Genomic DNA, 19,883 nt, shown 5'->3' with positions numbered 1-19,883 from the left:
AAAACAGTTTATATTATTAGCTAAAGGGAAGTAATGCATTGAGAGTTCATCCTCAATATCTAAGCAAAAACTGTGAACCAGAAGCTGTATAGATTATAATTCATTGTACTATTGTGATGACATGTTCTTTTATTTTCCATAAGAAAAAATACTTTATACATAATGTTCCTTGAGGTCCACTTGAATTTGTTTAGTACCTCTAACCATATTGCAAAAGTCTACGTTTTCCTTAAGATAACCTATTGCATTCCATGAATAAAACACTCTTTTGATGTATTTTTTTGCAGTGAGCTGCTAATGCTTTGTAGATTACTATGACCTCAGTGATAAATTTTCCTTTTGTTGAACTTCGAAAGCTCATAATTGTTTTTAAAAATGCTTGACTGATTTCCAGGTATAGAATATAACAATTGATAGGTCTTTAATTCATAGAGGAAAAGCATTCTATTGTTGACTCATAATATTAAATTTGTGATTGTGATAAGTTCAGAGGCTGGTCATCAGCCTTTCATATTTTTAGTATTTAATTTGCTTTAATTATTGATATAAGTGTTAACATTTAAATTTACCATCTATGAAGTAAGTGTACTGTTTTGGAACTTTTGAGTTTTCCTTATTTTCAAAAAATCTTTAGAATTTCAAATATTATTATAGTTCATGTAAATATGTAGATGAAGAATAGTTGTATTCTTCCTTCTTCCTATTTTGTAGCATACTGGAACTAAAATAATAATAAGATATGACACTAATATCTTTCTGAAAGGCAAATTGAATTACCAATTCTAAATATTTTCTTTTTTGATATAGTGGCATATGGTACATCAACTTACATATCTAAGTATAAAATTCACATTTCAGAGTCCAGATATTTATGTAGGTTCTTGAATGTTTCCCTTTTATCTTGAAAATTACTGTATTCTCTTTGTCACCATTTTTTTTTTCCTGAAAGAGATCAAGTCCTCTTATTTTATCTCAAAACAATCTTAAAATTTCTCACCTAAAAACTTTTCTTTGGTCTCTCCTGAAATTTTGTTACCTATGAATGGAAAGTTAGCCTGCTTATCATTAGACATCTTTTGTCAATTGATTCTTCTGGGTCAGTGCCTATCCTAAACATTATTTGAAAATAAATGTATGGTGAATAACATTTCTCAGGTGACCTCTACTTGTGTGTTCTGTCTTTGCAGAATTATAGACTTTGAGAATTTGAGGAAACTTAAAGATTTTCTACTAAAACTCTCTTTCCAAAGGACAAATCTCCTCTATAACACTGTACACACATGGACATTATTTGCAAAATCCAGGGATTCATAATACCTCAATTCAAGTGTCATCCTATTTAATTCAAAGGACTGCTCTGATTTTCAGAGAGTTGTCTGATTTAAGCTTAATACCTATCTCTCTTGAACTGGTATCCCTTGGTCTTCTAGAAGTCACCCCTCCTTATCAACTTTTTCTTTTCTGATTAAGCCCCTCAGCCTATTTCAACTAAATATATATATATATATATATATATATATATATATATATATATATATATATATATATATATATGTCTACAGCATCTTCATTGGATTGACTGACCCATCTAAATAGGAATTACAAGGGTGCAGGATCTGGTGGCTGTTTGTTCTTTGTATTGGTTTAGCATCTCAGGCTCAGATGACTCAAGGACTCAAGTAATGTCTTCAGGATGCATTGTCTTTTCTTTCATTTTTAATCTCTGCTTGGCTTTAATACCTCCTTCTATAGAATTTTTCTCCATGTGGCAAGGAAAATGGGTAGCTCCCAGGTATCTAATTCACTTCTCGTTCTTACCAAAATGGCGGTGTTGTATTAGCACAAAAAATAAAAAACAAAAACAAAAGCAACAAACAATTCCCCACCAAACCTCCCCGCTCCAAGGCAGAAAGCACCTTGCCCCTCCCCTTCTCCTCACATACACACACACAGAAATATTCTGGCTGACTTCCCACCTTGGAAGACATGACCAGCCCTAGACAAATCATGGGAGAGTCACATGACTGGAATGGGAAAGTGCAATTCTCCAAAGAATAGGAGGTGCCAGACAGAGGAAAGAAACAGATGCTCACTGTACTAAAAAATGTCCCCATTAAAATATGCTCAGGAAAAAACACAGTATTTCAAATGAAATTTTAGTAGCACAGTGTAAAGTGGAACCCAACCCTAGACCCTGTAGATCAACTCATGAAACCCGTCATGTCAGCTTTAGGGGTCAACTTCCCAAGGGCAATAACTCATACTGATTCGAGTTCTGAAAAAGAGACAAACCCCGAGAACTTTTCAGATATTCTAATGTGTTACTAATATATTCTTCCTTTCTCCTTCCTTCCTGTTCTTTCTCTACCTCTTTCTTTCTCTCTTCACCTATTATACAAGAAAAGTAGTCATTTTCAGGGATTCTGGGCATAGAAGGGAGATAGACCTGTAGATCATTATAAAATAGTGTAATAACTACAATGAGGGAGGTAAGACACCTAGCATCTTCAAGGTCATAGTGAAATTATTGTGCAGTCACACACACACACACACAAGTATATATATACATGTGTATATATGTATGTATATATATATATATGAATTGAAGTACTTTACAAGTAATTTTATTACATTTTGACTTAGCTTCTTGTCACATTTTCCTCAGATAATTACTACATGTCATCTTTTCAGTAACCCCTCCACCTGCCATGACATACTATTTAAAATTGCGTATTTGATCCCTGCCAGAACTCCCCAACCACCAAATCCTACTTTATTTTTCACCATGGCACACATCATCTTCTAACACACTCTATTATTAACTTGGTTACTGTGATTACTATTGATCTATTCTACTGGAATATAAGCTCAATAAGGACAGGGGAATTTTTTTGTAGTTTATTCAACAGGGTATCTTCAACATTAGAATAGCACCTTACACAAGTAATAAAATAAATATGTAAATAAATAAATATTTGTTCAATTATTGAATCACCCTTTTAATATATTTTCTCTGCTTTATAATGAATTTTCTTTCTCTTCCATCTGTGTATAGTTCTCATCTCAAGTTAGAAATTAGAGACTGCTTCCTGGGCATCTTCACTGGAATATCCCATAACAACTTTTCAAAATTGAAATAATTACGTGTTAGTTTTCCCATCCTTTTCTACTGTGTTCTTTATCTCAGTTATTAATGATGCAGTCTCCCTCCCATCACCCAAGACCACCCAATCAGCCTATAGTTCCCTACCTTGTTTACAAAGATTTTATGAGAACCTTGAAAATTGCCTACCTGAAATTCAGACACATCAAAAATTATTTCCTGGTCTAGCAATATAGTAAGAAAAAGCAAAATAGCTATAAAATTAAATTAAAATAAAGAAAATGAGTTTAGCATGACATGAATTATTCTTTTTGTGTACATTCTGGCTCTTGGCACCACTGCTTCGTTTGTTAAGTCCTCACCCAACATCCAGTTGATAACTGATAGACTCTAAGATTTAATTTACTGGCCTAGAGTTTACAATTTTTTATTCTTTTCTTTTTTAAAGTGAGGGCATTTGCCATTCTCCAGAATTCTCACATCTCTTTTATTCTCCAGTTTCTCAAAGATAGATCGGCAGATTTCTATGGAAAATTATTCACCTGAGCCCAGAAAATTTAACTAATTAAAAGAAGTCTCAATTTTCTTTATGAGATCTTTTGTGGCTTGCGTTTCAGTTCTCTTCTATCAGTATTTGTTCTATCATTTTTAGTCTGATGGTTATTCTTTTTGAGCATAGTAGAATCGAAATGGCCTGAAATACTGCATTTAAATAAACTCTCAGGTGATACTGATCTGCTTGTGCTCAGACCACACTTTGAGTACTAAGCTAGAGAATATACTTAACTGTGTCCAGTACTTACTTTCCTGGCTCTGTCAATTCCTAAGATGACTTAGTTGCTTTCTGCTATGACTAGCTAGTTAATAGAGCTATAGTTAATTCCCTTGATGATATCTCAGTGTCATGATCTTGGGATAGGATGAAGTCTTCAAAAGCAGCTACTAGAGACTGCATCTCCTGAAAATGCTACCATCTCCAAACTCCCTCATATACCTCCAAGTCAAGTGTTATTTAGCTGCATCTTAAGTCTTCTAGGCCTGTTTTCTTTAGGATTACTTCTCAGTGGTATGAGGCAAAAATAAAGATAACCAAATTTAAGGCAAGCAATTGCCTCTTATGCAAAGGTCCTGCCCAAGAGAGCTGTATGCTGAAGCAGGAGCAGGGTCAGGCAGTGAACTGCTGGTAGTTCATGCCTCTGAATGTGTCCAGAGTCTAACACTGGCATTAGTCACGAGGCATCAGAATGTCAGCATCACTGGTTTCCCAGTCTAGCCTAATTGGATGGAAAAAAACACTGCTCTGATAGGCAGAACAAAGAGGACACAAAATAACCAGTTACTGTTGGCTGGGCTCTCTGGTAAACCTGAGTTAGAGCATATTGGCTTCAGCTACAGGCTAAATCGGGGCCTTCTGCTTTCTCCCCTGGAATAGAAATGGCCTCATCTCTAGAGAAGTCAAGAGTGTACTTCCTCACTCATAAGCATGGGATACACATAATTCCACTAGTTTCTGCTGAAGGGTGTAGCAGAGAGTAAGGAAACTGACTATAGGAAATCAGCAGCTGGGAAAGAGGAAAACTGGGCCTAGTTCAAGAAGAAGGTGTAGGTGTGACTCCTGCATGTAATATGAAGAAAATCGTCCAAGGAGGAGCAAGCAGAATAGAGAGACAGAACACACATAAGTTCTCTTCTTCAAAACATAGTAATCCTCCCTAATAGTGCAATGAGAATGAATGAAATCTCAGGCAGGGAAAATCAGATATGCAATTGCTTTTTCATGGAGGAACACATTAAGAGGGTGAATAGAGAGGCAAAAGCATGGGGAAGGGGGACAAAGGATCCCATCTCTCTCTAATCCAGGTTACTCTCAGACTGTCCACAGTTCTACTTCTCTAACAGGCTTTGCCTATGATTGCCTGACCATCATTCTGTGTGTTCCCGCTTGGGGGTCTCCCCAGTCTTTTGGAAATGGTAGTCCCTGATATATACGTGGTTGGCAATAAAACATTGAGTATAATATTAGAAATTGATTTTAGAATCACCTGAATTGTGGACATTCATTTATTTTCTGGAGCCCTATAATCTAAAGTCCCTATTCTAGGGATAAGGAATCTTATCTTTCACCCTTTTTTGAGCAGAGGTGAGAGAGACGGATGGGAGTAGGTAGAGTCAGCTCTTCTCCATGACTGACTAAAGTTTGGATTGGGAGCAGAAGTATCCCCAAGAGGAATAAATAACTGTGTTGGGATGAAGAGCAGAACAATTTACTGTGTTCCCTTTTTCATAGATAAAAATTGACAACTCTGGTCACTGTGCCACTGAAAAATCAGCCCTCATCACGCCTTTGGCATAAACACCCTAGTTATTTCAGTTGACCTCAATGGTAATATTTTTCAGTATCCTACCGGTAAAACATGTAGGTACAATAAAATGGAGTTTCCTACATGTTTAGGTTAAAGAGAGTTCCCTAAAATGCATTATATATTAACTTGATTTAAAAAATCAGAATCTAGGAGTCTTAGCCAGAACAATCAGGCAAGAGAATATAAAGATATAAAAGGTATCTAAATAGCAAGAGAGGTCAAACTATCTCTCTTCACAGATGAAATGATTCTAAACCTAGAAAACCCCATAGCCTCTGCCTAAAGGTTCCGTGATCTGATAAACTTCAGCAAAGTTTCAGGATACAAAATCAATGAACCAAAGTCAGTAGTATTTCTATTCACCAATGTCCAAGCTGACAGCCTAATCAGGAACACAATTCCATTCACAATAGACACCAAAGGAATGAAATACCTACAAATACACCTAACCAGGGAGGTGAAAGATCTCTACAATGAGAATTACAAAACACTGCTGAAAGAAATCAAGGATGACCCAAACAAATGAAAAAACATGCTTACTAATAGGAAGAATCAGTAGTGTTAAAATGGCCATACCGCCCGAAGCAATGTACAGATTTAATGCTAGTCCTATCAACTACCAATATCATTTTTCACAGAATTAGAAAAAACTCTTTTAAAATTCATATGGAACCAAGAAAAGTGCCCAAATAGCCAAAGCAATCCTAAGCAAAATGAACAAACTAGAGGCATCACACTACCTACTTCAAACTATACTATAAGGCTACAGTAACCAAAACAGCACAATACTGGTACAAAAACAGACATATAGACCAAGGAACAGGTTAGAAAACTCAGAAATAAAGCCGCACACCTACAACCATCTGATCTTTGACAAAGCCAACAATAACAAGCAATGGGGAAAGGATTCCCTATTCATTAAATGGTGCTGGGATAATTGCCTAGCTATATGTAGGAGATTAAAACTGGATCATTCCTTTCATTATATACAAAAATCAACTCAAGACGGATTAAAGACTTAAATGTAAAACCTAAAAGTATAAAAAATTCTAGAAGAAAACCTAGGAAATACCATTTTGGATATCAGCCCTGGCAAAGATTTCATGACTAAGACTCCAAAAGCAATTGCTGCAAAAACAAAAATTGGCAAATCAATCATAATTAAACTAAAGAGCTTCTGCACACAAAAGAAATTATCAGCAGAGTAAACAGACAACCCACAGAATGGGAGAAAATGTTTGCAAACTATGCATCTGACAGAGGTCTAATATCCAGAATCTATAAGGAACTTAAATCAACAAGCAAAAAACAACCCCATTAAAAAGTGGGCAAAGGACATGAACAGACATTTTCCCCAAAATGAGACATATATGTGGCCAATGAGCATATAAAAAATGCTTAACATCACTAATCAGTGGAGAAATGCAAACCAAACTTACAATGAGATACCATCTCACACCAGTAAGAATGGGTACTATTAAAAAGTCAAAAAATAAGATACTAGTGAGGTTGTGGAGAAAAGGGAGCACTTATACATTGCTGGTGGGAATGTAAATTGGTTCAGCCACTGTGGAAAGCAGTTTGGAGATTTCTCAGAGAACTTAAACTATCATTCAATGTAGCAATCCCATTACTGGGTACATACCCAAAGGAATATAAATTGTTCTACCATGAAGAGACTTAAACATGTATGTTCATGGCAATGCTATTCACCATAGCAAAGACATGGAATCAACCTAAATGTCCATCAGTGGTGGATTAGATAAAGAAAATGTGGTACATATACACCATAGAATACTATGCAGTCATAAAAAAGGACAAAATCCTATTCTTTGCAGTAACATGGATATAGCTGGAGGTCATTATCCTAAGCGGATTAATCTGGGAACAAAAAACCAAATACCACTTGGGTGATATGTGCACTAAAATCTCAAACCTCACCACTATACAATTCATCCATGTAACCAAAAACCACTTGTACCCTTAAAGCTACTGAAATAATAACAAAAAAGCAAATCAAGCTAAATATTGGGTACACGTGGATACAAGGAAGGGCACAATAGACACAAGGGCCTACTTCAGGGTGGAGAGTGGGAGGAGGGTGAGGATCAAAAAACTACTTTTTGGGTACTGTGCTTATTACTTGGGTGACAAAATAATCTGTACTCCAAAACTCCATAACACAAAATACCATATACCCATAAAAAATCCTGCACGGGTACACCCTAAACCTGAAAAGTTGGAAAGAAAAAAAATCAGAATTGATTAAATTGGAATAAAAACAGTATTTTTTCTGGTTTTGCTTTTCCATTACGTGAAATGATAGTTTCAACTTAATTTATAATAAGTAGTGCTCCTGCAGAATGTTTATCTATGCCAGAAGGAAAGAAATAATTGTGTTTTTTGAACTGAATTTGGAATTTTAAGTCTCTATTTTGTTTTGAGGAAAATCTGTTGGAAAATTGAAACCAAGCAGCAGCAGTAGCTGTAATAACAATAAGACCCCTCTTTCCTTAGACATGATATCATGCGCCTGGAAAATGTCTTCTGCCTCCTGCACCCATGCCTGATTCTCTTCTCCCATAGTGAGTGCCTTAAGCATTTTACTACCTGAAATGTTCTAACTAGGAATCTACATAGGTGGTAAAAAGTATCCTACCCAGAAATTCCAATTGTCTTAGAGATTTTAAATGGGATATCAATCTCCATCCTTTGATATGATCTAGTTAAACAGATTTCCGTAGACCTAGAAACAGTCAAAAATAGGAGGGCACTTGTTTTTTGGGGATTGGCATGGAGTAGCATTTTGAGGAATGATTGGGGTACAAAAAGAGAACAGAAGGCACCCAAGAATTACATCTCCTTTAGGTACTTAAACTATTTTAAAAATTTGCCTGAATTAAAGTGACATTATCTTCCACTTCAGGAGGAGTGCATCTTATTTTAGAAAGTCCCAGGAATACTGCTCTGATTTTTGAAGTGAACAGGTTTTACTAGCGTGAAGTACTGAACCCTTGGGAACAGTGGAAAAGGAATAGTAAAATAATAATGAGACAAAAGATGAATTTCACGAGCATGTATTACATCCCTCCCCTTAAAAATCTATATCACCCATGCTGAATTTAATGCATTGTTTTCAAACTTAACAGAAATCATTTAGGGGTTTAAAGTAGGCCACAAACTTGTTCCACTCATTACCCAAGTTACTTTCAAATACCACATTCAAAGCACAAGAGTATCACATGTTTCTACTTCAAGGCTGCACGTACAGAAAACGAAAGCCCTCGACACAGCTTGGTAGCAGCAGATCCAAATCAGAGTAAATTGTGTAAATTATAACTAAATTGCAAAGCATTTGGACAAAGCAGGCATGCTAGTCTAATCAGGAAAGCAGTGATATTTACTTTTCAATAATGCAGGTTGGAAGAGGAATTGGGGGAGGGAGGCATCACAGATCTCTTTTACTATATTTCTGAACTTGGCAACCTGATCTGGTTTTGTCACATATTTGCAGCTTAAGAAGTATTTGGCTTTTACAACAGCCGAAATAAGTATCCTTAATCACTTTCAACCTATGAACAGATGGGCAAATAGTGCTTTTATAAATGGAGCATACAAAATACTTCAATATCAGCCAAAACTAATTAGTAGCAATATCTGAACCAAACTCTAAAACTGATTTAGTGTTTAATATATATTATCATATAAGCATTAGCAGTTGAAAGGAAATTCCCTGTTCAAATGTTTGCCAAGCTCAGGGTGTAATGTTCGGACATGATTAACTTACTAATCAACTTATTGTATCTTTTCTCACATGTAATCTTGCATAATGATCTCTTATCTCTCTGAAAACTATTTGATTTGATGCTTTGAGCACAGATTTGTCAAACTTCAAATGAAAAAGTAAAAGGCAGCCAGTCAGCCCTGTTCTTTCTCTCATTCTTAGAGTGACATTAGTAGGAGGTGGCATGAAAACAAGTGGAGTGGTCTCTTCTGTGATGAAAACTTGTTTTATATCTTGCCTTTAATGACTCACATTTTTATTTTCATGAGGATTTTTTAAGAGTTGTATGGAGACTCTTTAGTGGCTAAAAATGTCTGTAAAAATGACAATTTGCTCCATATCAAAATTCTATGGTAAAGAAAGATAAATTTAAAAATTACATTTGGAGGGTAAGCAAAGAATAATTTCTGTGATTCTCTAACTCAGAGGAGGTCACTTAGTCTCCATGTATCTGACAGTCACAATACATTTCTCATATCTCATCTACAACTCATTCTTATATAAAGAATGAACATAAAGTCCGTGGCATAAAATTGAACATTTCTGTAATAGTCTGTCTGTATTTGTGATATGGCTGTATCTTTCAATACTCCTGAAACAAACAAATGAACAAAAACCTAAAGCCGGTTACCCAAGTCATCCTAACTATTGAGGATTGGCTATTGTCAATACCAACGTTTCTGTTGTCATGACATAATTTCGTCCTCCTTTGATTTCATCACACAGAGGATCAAGAAGGCTTGGAATTATGGCTGTACTACTTATAAATTTATCATTTATAAAATCAGAATAATAATCATCCAACAAAACTATTTTTTTTAATTTTAATTTTTTTTTTTTTTGAGCCAGGGTCTCACTAGGTTGCCTGGGTTAGTTTCTCACTCCTGGGCTCAAGCAATTCTCCTGTCTAAGCCACCTGACTTGCTGAGACTACAGGTGCACATCACTGCCTCCATCCCTAACAATACTATTTTGAAGAGTGAAGGAGAAAGTATGTCTGAAATAAATGCTTAATAAAAGATTGTTACTACCACTACTGCTGATATTAATGGATTTAATTATTAAACTTTTACTTTACACAGTGAACGCTAGCCTATTTCAGGAAATATGAACAAAATTAGAAAACAAGGAACAAATTATCATTTTTCTTTACAACCTAATGTTTTTTTTACAACCCAGCATCTAATCAGGAATTTGCATCAGTTTTACTGAAGGAGTCAATGAAACAATCTTTGAAGGAAGGTCTTGAAGAGGAGTTCCTTGGAAATAATTGTTGTGATTCCTATCCATTCCTGATTTAGAAACACTTAGTTAATATAACCATTAATAATATTTGGCATGTTTTTGTGGTCTTTTATATATATGTATATAAATATATACATTTTTAAAAGTTACAATTATATAATGTATATAATTTAATAACCTTATTCTTTTAATATCAATTTTTGAAATGACAAGCATTTACTCAAATTATTACATAATCTTCTAAAACAACACCTTTATGACCTCATAATTGTCTATTGATTGGCTCTAACACAATTTACTTAGATATTTGTTTCTAAATTTTTTCTATTATAATGAAACTGGGGATGGGTGTCTTCATGCATATAGCTTTTTTCATACTTAGGAGAAATTTCCAAAAAGGAAATTACTAGGTTGTATGCTCTTGATTCATATTGCCAAGTCAATCTGTTTTCCAAGTAGATTACGCAATTGAGAATAATGTTGGAAATGCATCTTGAACCAAACTTTCTCTGGAATTTTATAGGTTCACAGGGTTTTCCTCCTAAATTTGGAAGTGAAAAATGGTGCCTTATTTCTATTTTAACTTAAAATAATTATTGAAACATTTTTCTATATGTATGTTTCTAATTATTTTTTGCCAGGTGTGTGTTTTAACTAATCACAACAAAAAATGTATTTGAGAACATGATGAAACCTTCAAGGCGCTCTGGTTGTGTGGTTCTCACAAAAATATGTTCAGAAATTATTATACCATAGTTAGGAAATATAATGCAGATGAAATATGGGATGTTCATTTTGGAAGTGAAATTTGATATATATACATATATATCTTTTAATAGAGATATAAAATTTGAAATTAAGTGAAAGACGCTTTTATGAAGACAGGTTTGGTTGCTGGAAACTAAAAGAAAAATGAGCCAGGCTTAGTGATGCATACCTGTAGACCCAGCTACTTGGGAGATTGAGGCAGGAGAATCACTTGAGCTCAGGAGTTAGAGGTTGCAGTGAGCTGTGATCGTACCACTGCACTCCAGCCTTGGTGATAGAGCAAGACTCTGTTTCTAAAATAAAATAAAAATAAAAATATATTAATAAAAGGAAAATAAAAGGATCAGCAATAGATATTGTTTTATCCAGAAAATAAGTATAAACCTGAAATAATGTGAAGGAAGCCAGTCCCTTTTGCTTGTCTGCACATTATTACTATTCTTGGAATGTGTCAGGTGGTCAAAAACTAAATGACTGACTAATGTTTCACCTTCCCATCCAGGGTCATCATATATCAGTGAGAGCTATAAGTTATTCTTTGGTTATAGATTCAGTAATAACTTATATAAAGAAGGGGAGCTCTAGAGATTCTAGTTATTTTGGAGATTAGTGCTAGACAGAATTACCTGTGTTTGTTTGTCACAGGGTAGCAGGTGCTTATTCCCCTTGATTGTAAGATATTATATACTACTTATGCATTATGGAGGAAGCTAAGTTGTTTGCTTTCTCATCCCTATCTTGTGATCAAGATGCATTCATAAAGCATGGTTGTGACTGTGTAAGTTTGTTCAGCAACTGTTTATTTGGTTTACTCATTATTTATTTTTATTTACAGACAAAATTGTATGTATTTATTGTGTACAACATGATGCTTCGAAGTATATATATGTTGCGGAATGACTAAATCGAGCTAATTAACATGTGCATTACTTTACATAGTTATTATTTTTATGGTGTAAACATTTTATGTCCACGCTCTTAACATTTTTCAAGAATACAATATATTGTTAACTATAGTCACCATGTTATACAATAGATCTCTTGGACTTATTCCGCCTATGTAAATACCATTTTATATCCTTTGGCCAACATCTCCCTAACACCTGCTCCCAAATGCTCCAGCTCTTTTTGCCACCATTTTACTCTCTACTGTGAGATCAACATTTTAGATTCCACATGAGTGAGGTCATGTGGTATTTGCCTTTCTGTATCTGGCATATTTCACTTAGCACAATGTCCTCCAGGTATATCCATGTTGTCACAAATTACAGAATTTCCTTCCTTTTATGGCTGAATAGTATTCCATTGTGTATATATACTGCATCTTCTTTTTTCATTCATATGTTAACAAACACTTAGGTTGATTCCATATCTTGGCTATTGTGAATAATGGTGCAGTGAGCACGGTGGTGCAGTTATCTCTGACAAACTGATTTCATTTCCTTTGGATGTGTACCCAGGAGTGGGATAGCTGGATTAAATGGTATTCTGTTTTTAATTTTTTGAGGAACCTCTGTACTGTTTTCCATAAGGTTGTGCTAATTTACATTCCCACCAACAGTGTGCAGGGGTTCCCTGTTCTCTGTGTCCTCTCCAATACTTGCTGTCTTTTCTCTTTCTGATAGTAAATTCTAACATGTGTGAGGTGATAACTCATTGTGCTTTTAATTTGTCTTTCCCTGATGATTAGTGATGTTGAGCATTTTTTCATATATGTTTTGGCAATTTGTATGTCTTCTTTAGGGAAATCTCTATTTGAATGCTCTGCCCATGTTCTAGCAACTTTTGATTCAATATCATTAACTTGGTGTTTTACTGAGTCAGTTTCATTAGTAAATGTGGAATAAGGAATGGATTAAAACATGGATGCTTTTATTGTTTCATTAGCAAAACTAGAATCATATGATACTAACATATCAGTAACTTCTGTCTAGAAGACTGATAAATCCCCTGGTGTCACATTATATTCTTTCATAATGATTTTATGTAGCAGGATTTTTATTGCCCCTGTCAGTTTTTTCATTGAGGTTAGGAATTAGGAATCATCCAATTTTCTTCTTCCAGGTTTTACCTACATTACATATAATGGTAAAAGCACCCCCTTTCTCTTTTTAATATCCTCAAATTTCCCAATATGTGTTTTCCTGTAACATTCCATTAGTTGGCAATCCCTAACCAATATAGAAAAGAGCGAGCTGGTTTTTTAGGAGGACCTAGTGGGCATCATTTTCACGTAAAGATTAAATCCACGTTCCTTAATAGGAGCCACCATACTAGTTTACTGCCTTACCTTTAAATGTTATATATTAAAATGGAAAGTGGATTACAAACTTGATTTTTCAATTACATTATGATAGAAAAAAGTATCAATTCTTATTAAAACTTTGTAAATAAATACTTCTATAATGAACTCAGTAAAGGCATTTTATATATATTTAACTATTGTTCTATATTGTTTTAAAGATAAGATAAATGAAAATGTGTTCTTAATTTCCATAAAGTTATTCACAATGATTTATTAACTTATTATATATATGAACATTTTTATTAGGACTTTTTCCCCCTCAAGTTCTGAAGGGTTAGTTGAAACCATTTATATACTATTTAAAGGATATTTCATTCCAGTTTGTACTAGTAAAAGCAAACAAATTGAAGTTTATAAATTGATTCAAAGAAAAAGCTTTCTCATATTTTATTAGAAAATAAATATGAAACATAATTCAATCAGTGTATTCAGTTCTAGATAATTAATTCTTATTTTGCTGATCTTGGTTTAAGCAGATTACCATATGAAGTTTTCTGTTTCTGGAGGAAAAAAAGTCCTGAAATCCCGAATCAGTTCTTTTGCTTAGTCTAACAGGTTCATGGTTATGATGTCAGTTTAAACTAAACTGAGAAACCTGTACCCATAGGTCTTTTTCTGCTACTATAAATTGTTAAGAAAATGCATTGTTCATAAGGCTACCATTCTTTTGATGTTTCTTTCAAAAGATGAAATTTATAACCTGTAACTTGTAGCAGGGCTTTGGGCAGAAACTACCTGCTAATGATATGATTGATTTGTATAATATATGTTTAGCAAAAATTTGCTGTAATAATAAACAATCTCAGAGTGGAGAGGAATGGAGTCCTCTACTGAGGACATACATATTTTTTTTCCATATGGATTTAGTCATTGATCACCTTGAACTAAGAACATATTGACAACAAGGACATTGACAAACCTCAAGGTTTTAAAAATGTCATCCCTAATGTCACGACTTGACAGATAATTTACCTCTGAAACAAAATCTTTGAAAAAATCAATTTGACAGTTATTGTGTTAGTCTTTGAGTATAAACCTAAGTATATGCATCAGTTATCTATTGCCACAATGGCATCACAAAACTTAGTGGCTTAAAACAACAGCTATTTATTATTTATTGTGCAACAATGATGATGATCTGGTCCAGACCTGGGCTCATGCTAGTGGGCACAACTTCTCTCTTCCCCATGTGGCTTCTCATCCTTTAGAGATTTGCTGGCTTATTGTCATGTAGATGTAGGGTTCTGAAAGAATGAAACTGTGTAAAGTCTCTTAAAGCACATAGTTAGAACTGGCACATTATCACTTCCATTGGATTCTATTGGCTAGACCGATTCACAAGACCAGCTCATAGTCCTAGAGTAGGTGAATAGACTCCACCTCTTGATGAGTAGGGCTGCACAATCACGTTGCAAAGGTATGGATTTAAGGAGGCTTTAATTGGCCATCAATATACTGCACTGTGCTTCTAATATGTTTATGTTAATGTAAAAATATATATGTACATGTGTATTTTGAGATAGGGTCCCATTCTGTCACCCAGGCTGAGTGCAATGGCACACTCATGGCTTACTGCAGCCTTGACTTCCTGGGTTTGGGCAATCCTCCCACCTCAGCCTCCCATGGTAGCATGTGCCACCATGCCTGGCTAATTTTTCATAGTCATTTTTGTAGAGACAGAGTTTCACCTTGTGGCTCAGGCTGGTCTTGAACTCCTGGATTCAAATGATCCACCTGCCGCAGCCTCCCTAAGTGGTGGGATAACAGGCATGGAGCCACTGTACCTGGCTTTATTAATATTTTATTTGTTATATATTCAACTTAGGCCAAAATTTTCCTTGAATAGTCACCTCTTTTTATATTTTGAGATTTGATAAACAGGACAGCCCTGAATACAGTATTGAATTAGACAAAAATATGGACCATTGTAACAAGGTCAAGGATCATGAGTCTTGTCAAGGAAAAGACATGACCCTGAGGTGGCAGTAGCCCATACCAAGCTTTATTTGGGCAGCACATGGATAGGTTTGCATGAGACGTCTCTCCCAGCAAAGGCCTTCCAGAGACCGTGACCTGGAGCCACTACCCAGAAGGAGTAGCGGTCTCCTGTGGGAGAGGGAAATCAGAGAGGGGACTTCCATGTCTAGATGATGACACTCAACCACAGGATGGAGAATCTCTGGGTCATTGAGCTCCAAAGAGCAGCAGTGGCATGAGGTCTTTTATAGCCCCAGGATGTGCCTTATTGATGTCTAACAGATATTGGAAGCAATTTCATGGTGTAGGCAAAGCAAGTAGACTCTAAACGGCTAAAAATATGCTTATTTGGGCCATATTTAAAACAGCTGAATGTCTAAGAATTTTGAATTCGGAGCTGGCAAGCTTTTGAGCCAATGGTCCTAATATGCAGAAGTAAACATAAGGGCCAATATATAGGAAACATCTTTAGCTTTAAAAAAATAAAATTGTTATAACATTTGTATAACAACCACACAAGACATACCTTGTCATGTCTTGCAGCCCTCCTTTTATATAGTGAAGAAGAAAATCTTTGGTATGATCCTGAAGCCATCTGGGATACCCAAAAGATAGGTTAAAAAGACATTATAATTGTTTTGTTTGTTTGTTTTTTTAATTTGCAACTTGAGGCCCTGCACCGTGGCTCATGCCTATAATCCCAGCACTTTGAGAGGTGGAGGCAGGGGATCATTTGAGGACAGGAGTTTAAGACCCACCTGGCCAGCATAGCAAAACCCCGTCTCTACTGAAAATACAAAAAATTAGCTGTGTGTGGTGGCACACACCTGTAATCCCAGCTACTCAGGAGGCTGAGGCATGATAATTGCTTGAACCCGGGAGGTGGAGGTTGTGGTGAGAGTAGATCGCACTGCTGCACTCCGGCCTGGGTGACAGAGTGAGACTCTGTCTCAAAAAAGGATAATAATAATAAAATAAAATTTGGAACTTGAATGTGGGAAAAATATTGAAAAAATTGTCAGATGAAGTAAAACATGAACAGAAGTCACAGGTGCCTTTTGAGTAAAAAAGAAGTAACAGAGACGCAAATAACTAAGTAACTTTCAATGTTAGGAATACCAAACTTTGCAAATAAGTCACAAAGAAGAGAAAAAAGATTCACAAGCACAATAAAAGGAATACTTATGTGATAAAAGGAACTTTTTGATATTTGGGCAAAATATATTGAAGGCACAGAATGGTTTTCCCTATGTTAAGAGCAAACTGTAATCAAAAATCAGTTTGTCAGTGTAACAAAAGTGATATCATATTCTAATTTTACTTTTAAAATATACCACCTGTGTAATGTTTTATAGTTAAGGATTCACAAGCATTTCTCTGTTTTATGATTAAGCTCATCAAAATTTACCATTGTCAAAATTTAGTGTATTAGCTTCTTTTCAAACTCATTATTTGTAAATACAATTTGTTTTCCATCAAGACTTCTATAAATTGTTCACTTCTATAAATTGTTCTTGTCTTTTCTTTAACATTCCAATTATCTAGAGATATAGTATTGATCAAAGTACATCTGTTTCAGACCTAAGATAAAATTCATTTCTTTTCAATTGTTATGAAAACCAGACAAATCACATTCATCATTTTGTAAACATGCTTGTATTTCTTCTTATTTTTTACGTAATATAGTTCTGATCACTCATATTAGCTACAGCTTTTACCCCAAATAACTTTCAATTCTCTCTCTGCCTCTGTTGTCTGTGTCTCTCTTTCTTTGTCACTTTTCTCTCTCTCTCTCTCTCTCGTACATGTGTACACACACGCACACACACACACAAACTTTTCAGTAGAGGATTAAAAACTGTGCCTTTCAAGGCAACTTAGGAGACCAGAAGACTGTAATGACCTAGAGCTGTCACTTCAATAGTACACATTACATATCACCCTACCATCACACATATTCCTCTGCTATTTGCATCTTGTTAGAACATGAAACCTTCCCTCACTTTTTGGCTTGGGTATTTAACTATTTCTATAACAGTCCTCTTATTTCCTCTGAGAGAAATGAGAAAAAGATGTCAACTCAGAATCTCTTAGATTTCATAGTAGATCTTGATGCTACGGACAAGCCAGAAGTAATCATTACCATTTCACCTGCATTCCACTTGGTCTCATACATCAATGCCCATTTGTAAAATTTATTATATTAGCCAAGCAAAAATCCTCTTAGAAGGCAGAGCTGCCTCTTTTCTAAGCTATTCAAAATCAGTCTTAATTTAAACAAACAAATACAAAACTTTGTTTCCTATTCTTCAGCTCTTCTGGCAGCTTTGTTTAATAAGACATCTATCCCTCAGTGTACAAAATGATATATATTTGGCTCAGTAATTTATAAAAATTTTCAAGAGAGTGAAAGAAAATGATAGAATGAATCAGCCACTGATACAAAAGAGCTACAGTTATAAGAATATTGTACAAGGCTAATTTATTTCGTTTTGCAAAGAAGAAAATGACTTTTTTTTCATTTACACACATAGACACAAAGAGAACTAGCAGCCTCAGTTATACATGTTTAGATATAGGTCAAAAATAAATATACAGCACAATTTTCTGTGCTTCAACAAATCTCACTGGTTCATTGCAGCTACTTGGGAGTAGGAAGGTCAGGAAGTAAAAAAGATCAACAAATTCTTCTTATGAAAATTTCTTAATCTGGGGCTGATCTCCATTCTAGTGGGTGGGAAATTTTCTCTTGAATGATATTCAAACTAGTGTTCAAAAATGGTGTTATGCTAGTGTTCAAATGACATACAATATAGAGAATATCAGGAGATAGTACAAGCTTCAAGAATAACTACAGAAAGACAAATATGAAAAGACAGAACTGGGATTTCCTGCCATCTACCACCTAACAGAGACTTTGTGGCTGGGTCAAATAATCAAAATCATACTCCACATTTCAGTTACCAAGAGAATAAAAATAATATCCATGTACAAAACAGAACAAGACTTAAGAATAAACTTAACATAAAAATTAAATAAAACAGACTAAGAAAATATGCAAAAACAGAGTGAATGTGAGTCAGAGATTCACTCTGAGAATCAAGAAACTTGGGTCTGGGATTCAGAGGTGTAGGTACAGATCATTTTTGGGGCAAGACTCAGCCCTGGTGAATGAATTGACCTGGGCATCTCAGTCAGTGGAACTCCATTTGTGAGAGGGCAGAAATAAAAACATTAAGAAGAAGAAAGCATTTTTATATGCCAAAAATTGCAAGAGAACTAGACTTTGGACTTTGGAAGACTTTGAAAAAAACTGGCTATCATATGTAAAACATAACAGGTATATACATATAAAGAAAAAGCTGACACAAGGTTACCAAGATTACAGATAATCTGTTAATGGTAGTAAATCTTCAGTTTTCTCAAATGTTATTAATTGCTGCTAGGGTCACTGTATTAGGGTTCTCTAGAGGGACAGAACTAATGGAATATATATATATATAGGAATTTATTAAGTATTAACTCACATGACCATAAGGAGGTCCCACGATAGGCCGTCTGCAGGCTGAGGAGCAAGGAGAGCCAGTCGGATTTCAAGACTGAAGGACCTGGAGTCTGATGTTTGAGGAGGCAACCAGTACGGAAGAAAAATATAGCCTAGGAGACTAGGCCAGTCTGTCTTTTCACATCTTTCTGCCTGCTTATATTCTAGCTGCACTGGCAGCTGATTAGATTGTGCCCACCCAGATTAAGGATGGGTCTGTCTTTCCCAGCCCACTGACTTAAATGTTAATCTCCTTTGGCAACATCCTCACAGACACACTCAGGATCAATACTTTGTTCCTTCAATCTGGTCAAGTTGACACTCATTATTAACTACCACAGTCACCCATAGCCGTATTGCAGACTGGTCATCGTTTGCAGTATCACCTTTCCCATCTGCTGATCCTATAGGCCATGATCCTACCACCATAGTACAGAGACTCTCAATTCAAAGCATTTGAATCAAAGTTACTTTTCTGATGACGTTTGGTTAACAGCATATCAGTGCCAAATAATTAAATAATTTTGAAGTACTCTGTAGTTTAAAATAGCTTCTGGGACAGGAAAATTATTTGAACTAAACTGCCGTGTCATATGAAAACATTCTCTTTGGAGTAGTTGTAGATAGACTGACATATTCACTTTCTTTTGGATTTCTTTTCATTAGAAGGTTAGTTTTATCCATGTAATATTGGTCTTGGCATATTCAACCTTCTTTGGAGGTCCTTATTGACATGTCCTGGTGATATCATACATTGAATTCTATGTACAAGTTATAATATATTTCCTATTTCA

The 19,883-nt window shown here is 35.2% G+C and overlaps 1 protein-coding gene across 16 annotated transcripts in view; it reads left to right on the top strand.

The window, feature by feature from the left end:
- IQCM (IQ motif containing M) overlaps positions 1-19,883 on the top strand; it is a 464,135-nt gene that overhangs the window by 231,982 nt on the left and 212,270 nt on the right. The window lies entirely within an intron of this gene.

Source organism: Homo sapiens, chromosome 4, assembly GCF_000001405.40.
Source record: "Homo sapiens chromosome 4, GRCh38.p14 Primary Assembly".
Classification (NCBI taxonomy): Eukaryota; Metazoa; Chordata; class Mammalia; order Primates; family Hominidae; genus Homo; species Homo sapiens.
The sequence above is the reverse complement of the archived record's forward strand: the minus strand, read 5'-3'. Positions and strand labels throughout refer to the sequence as shown.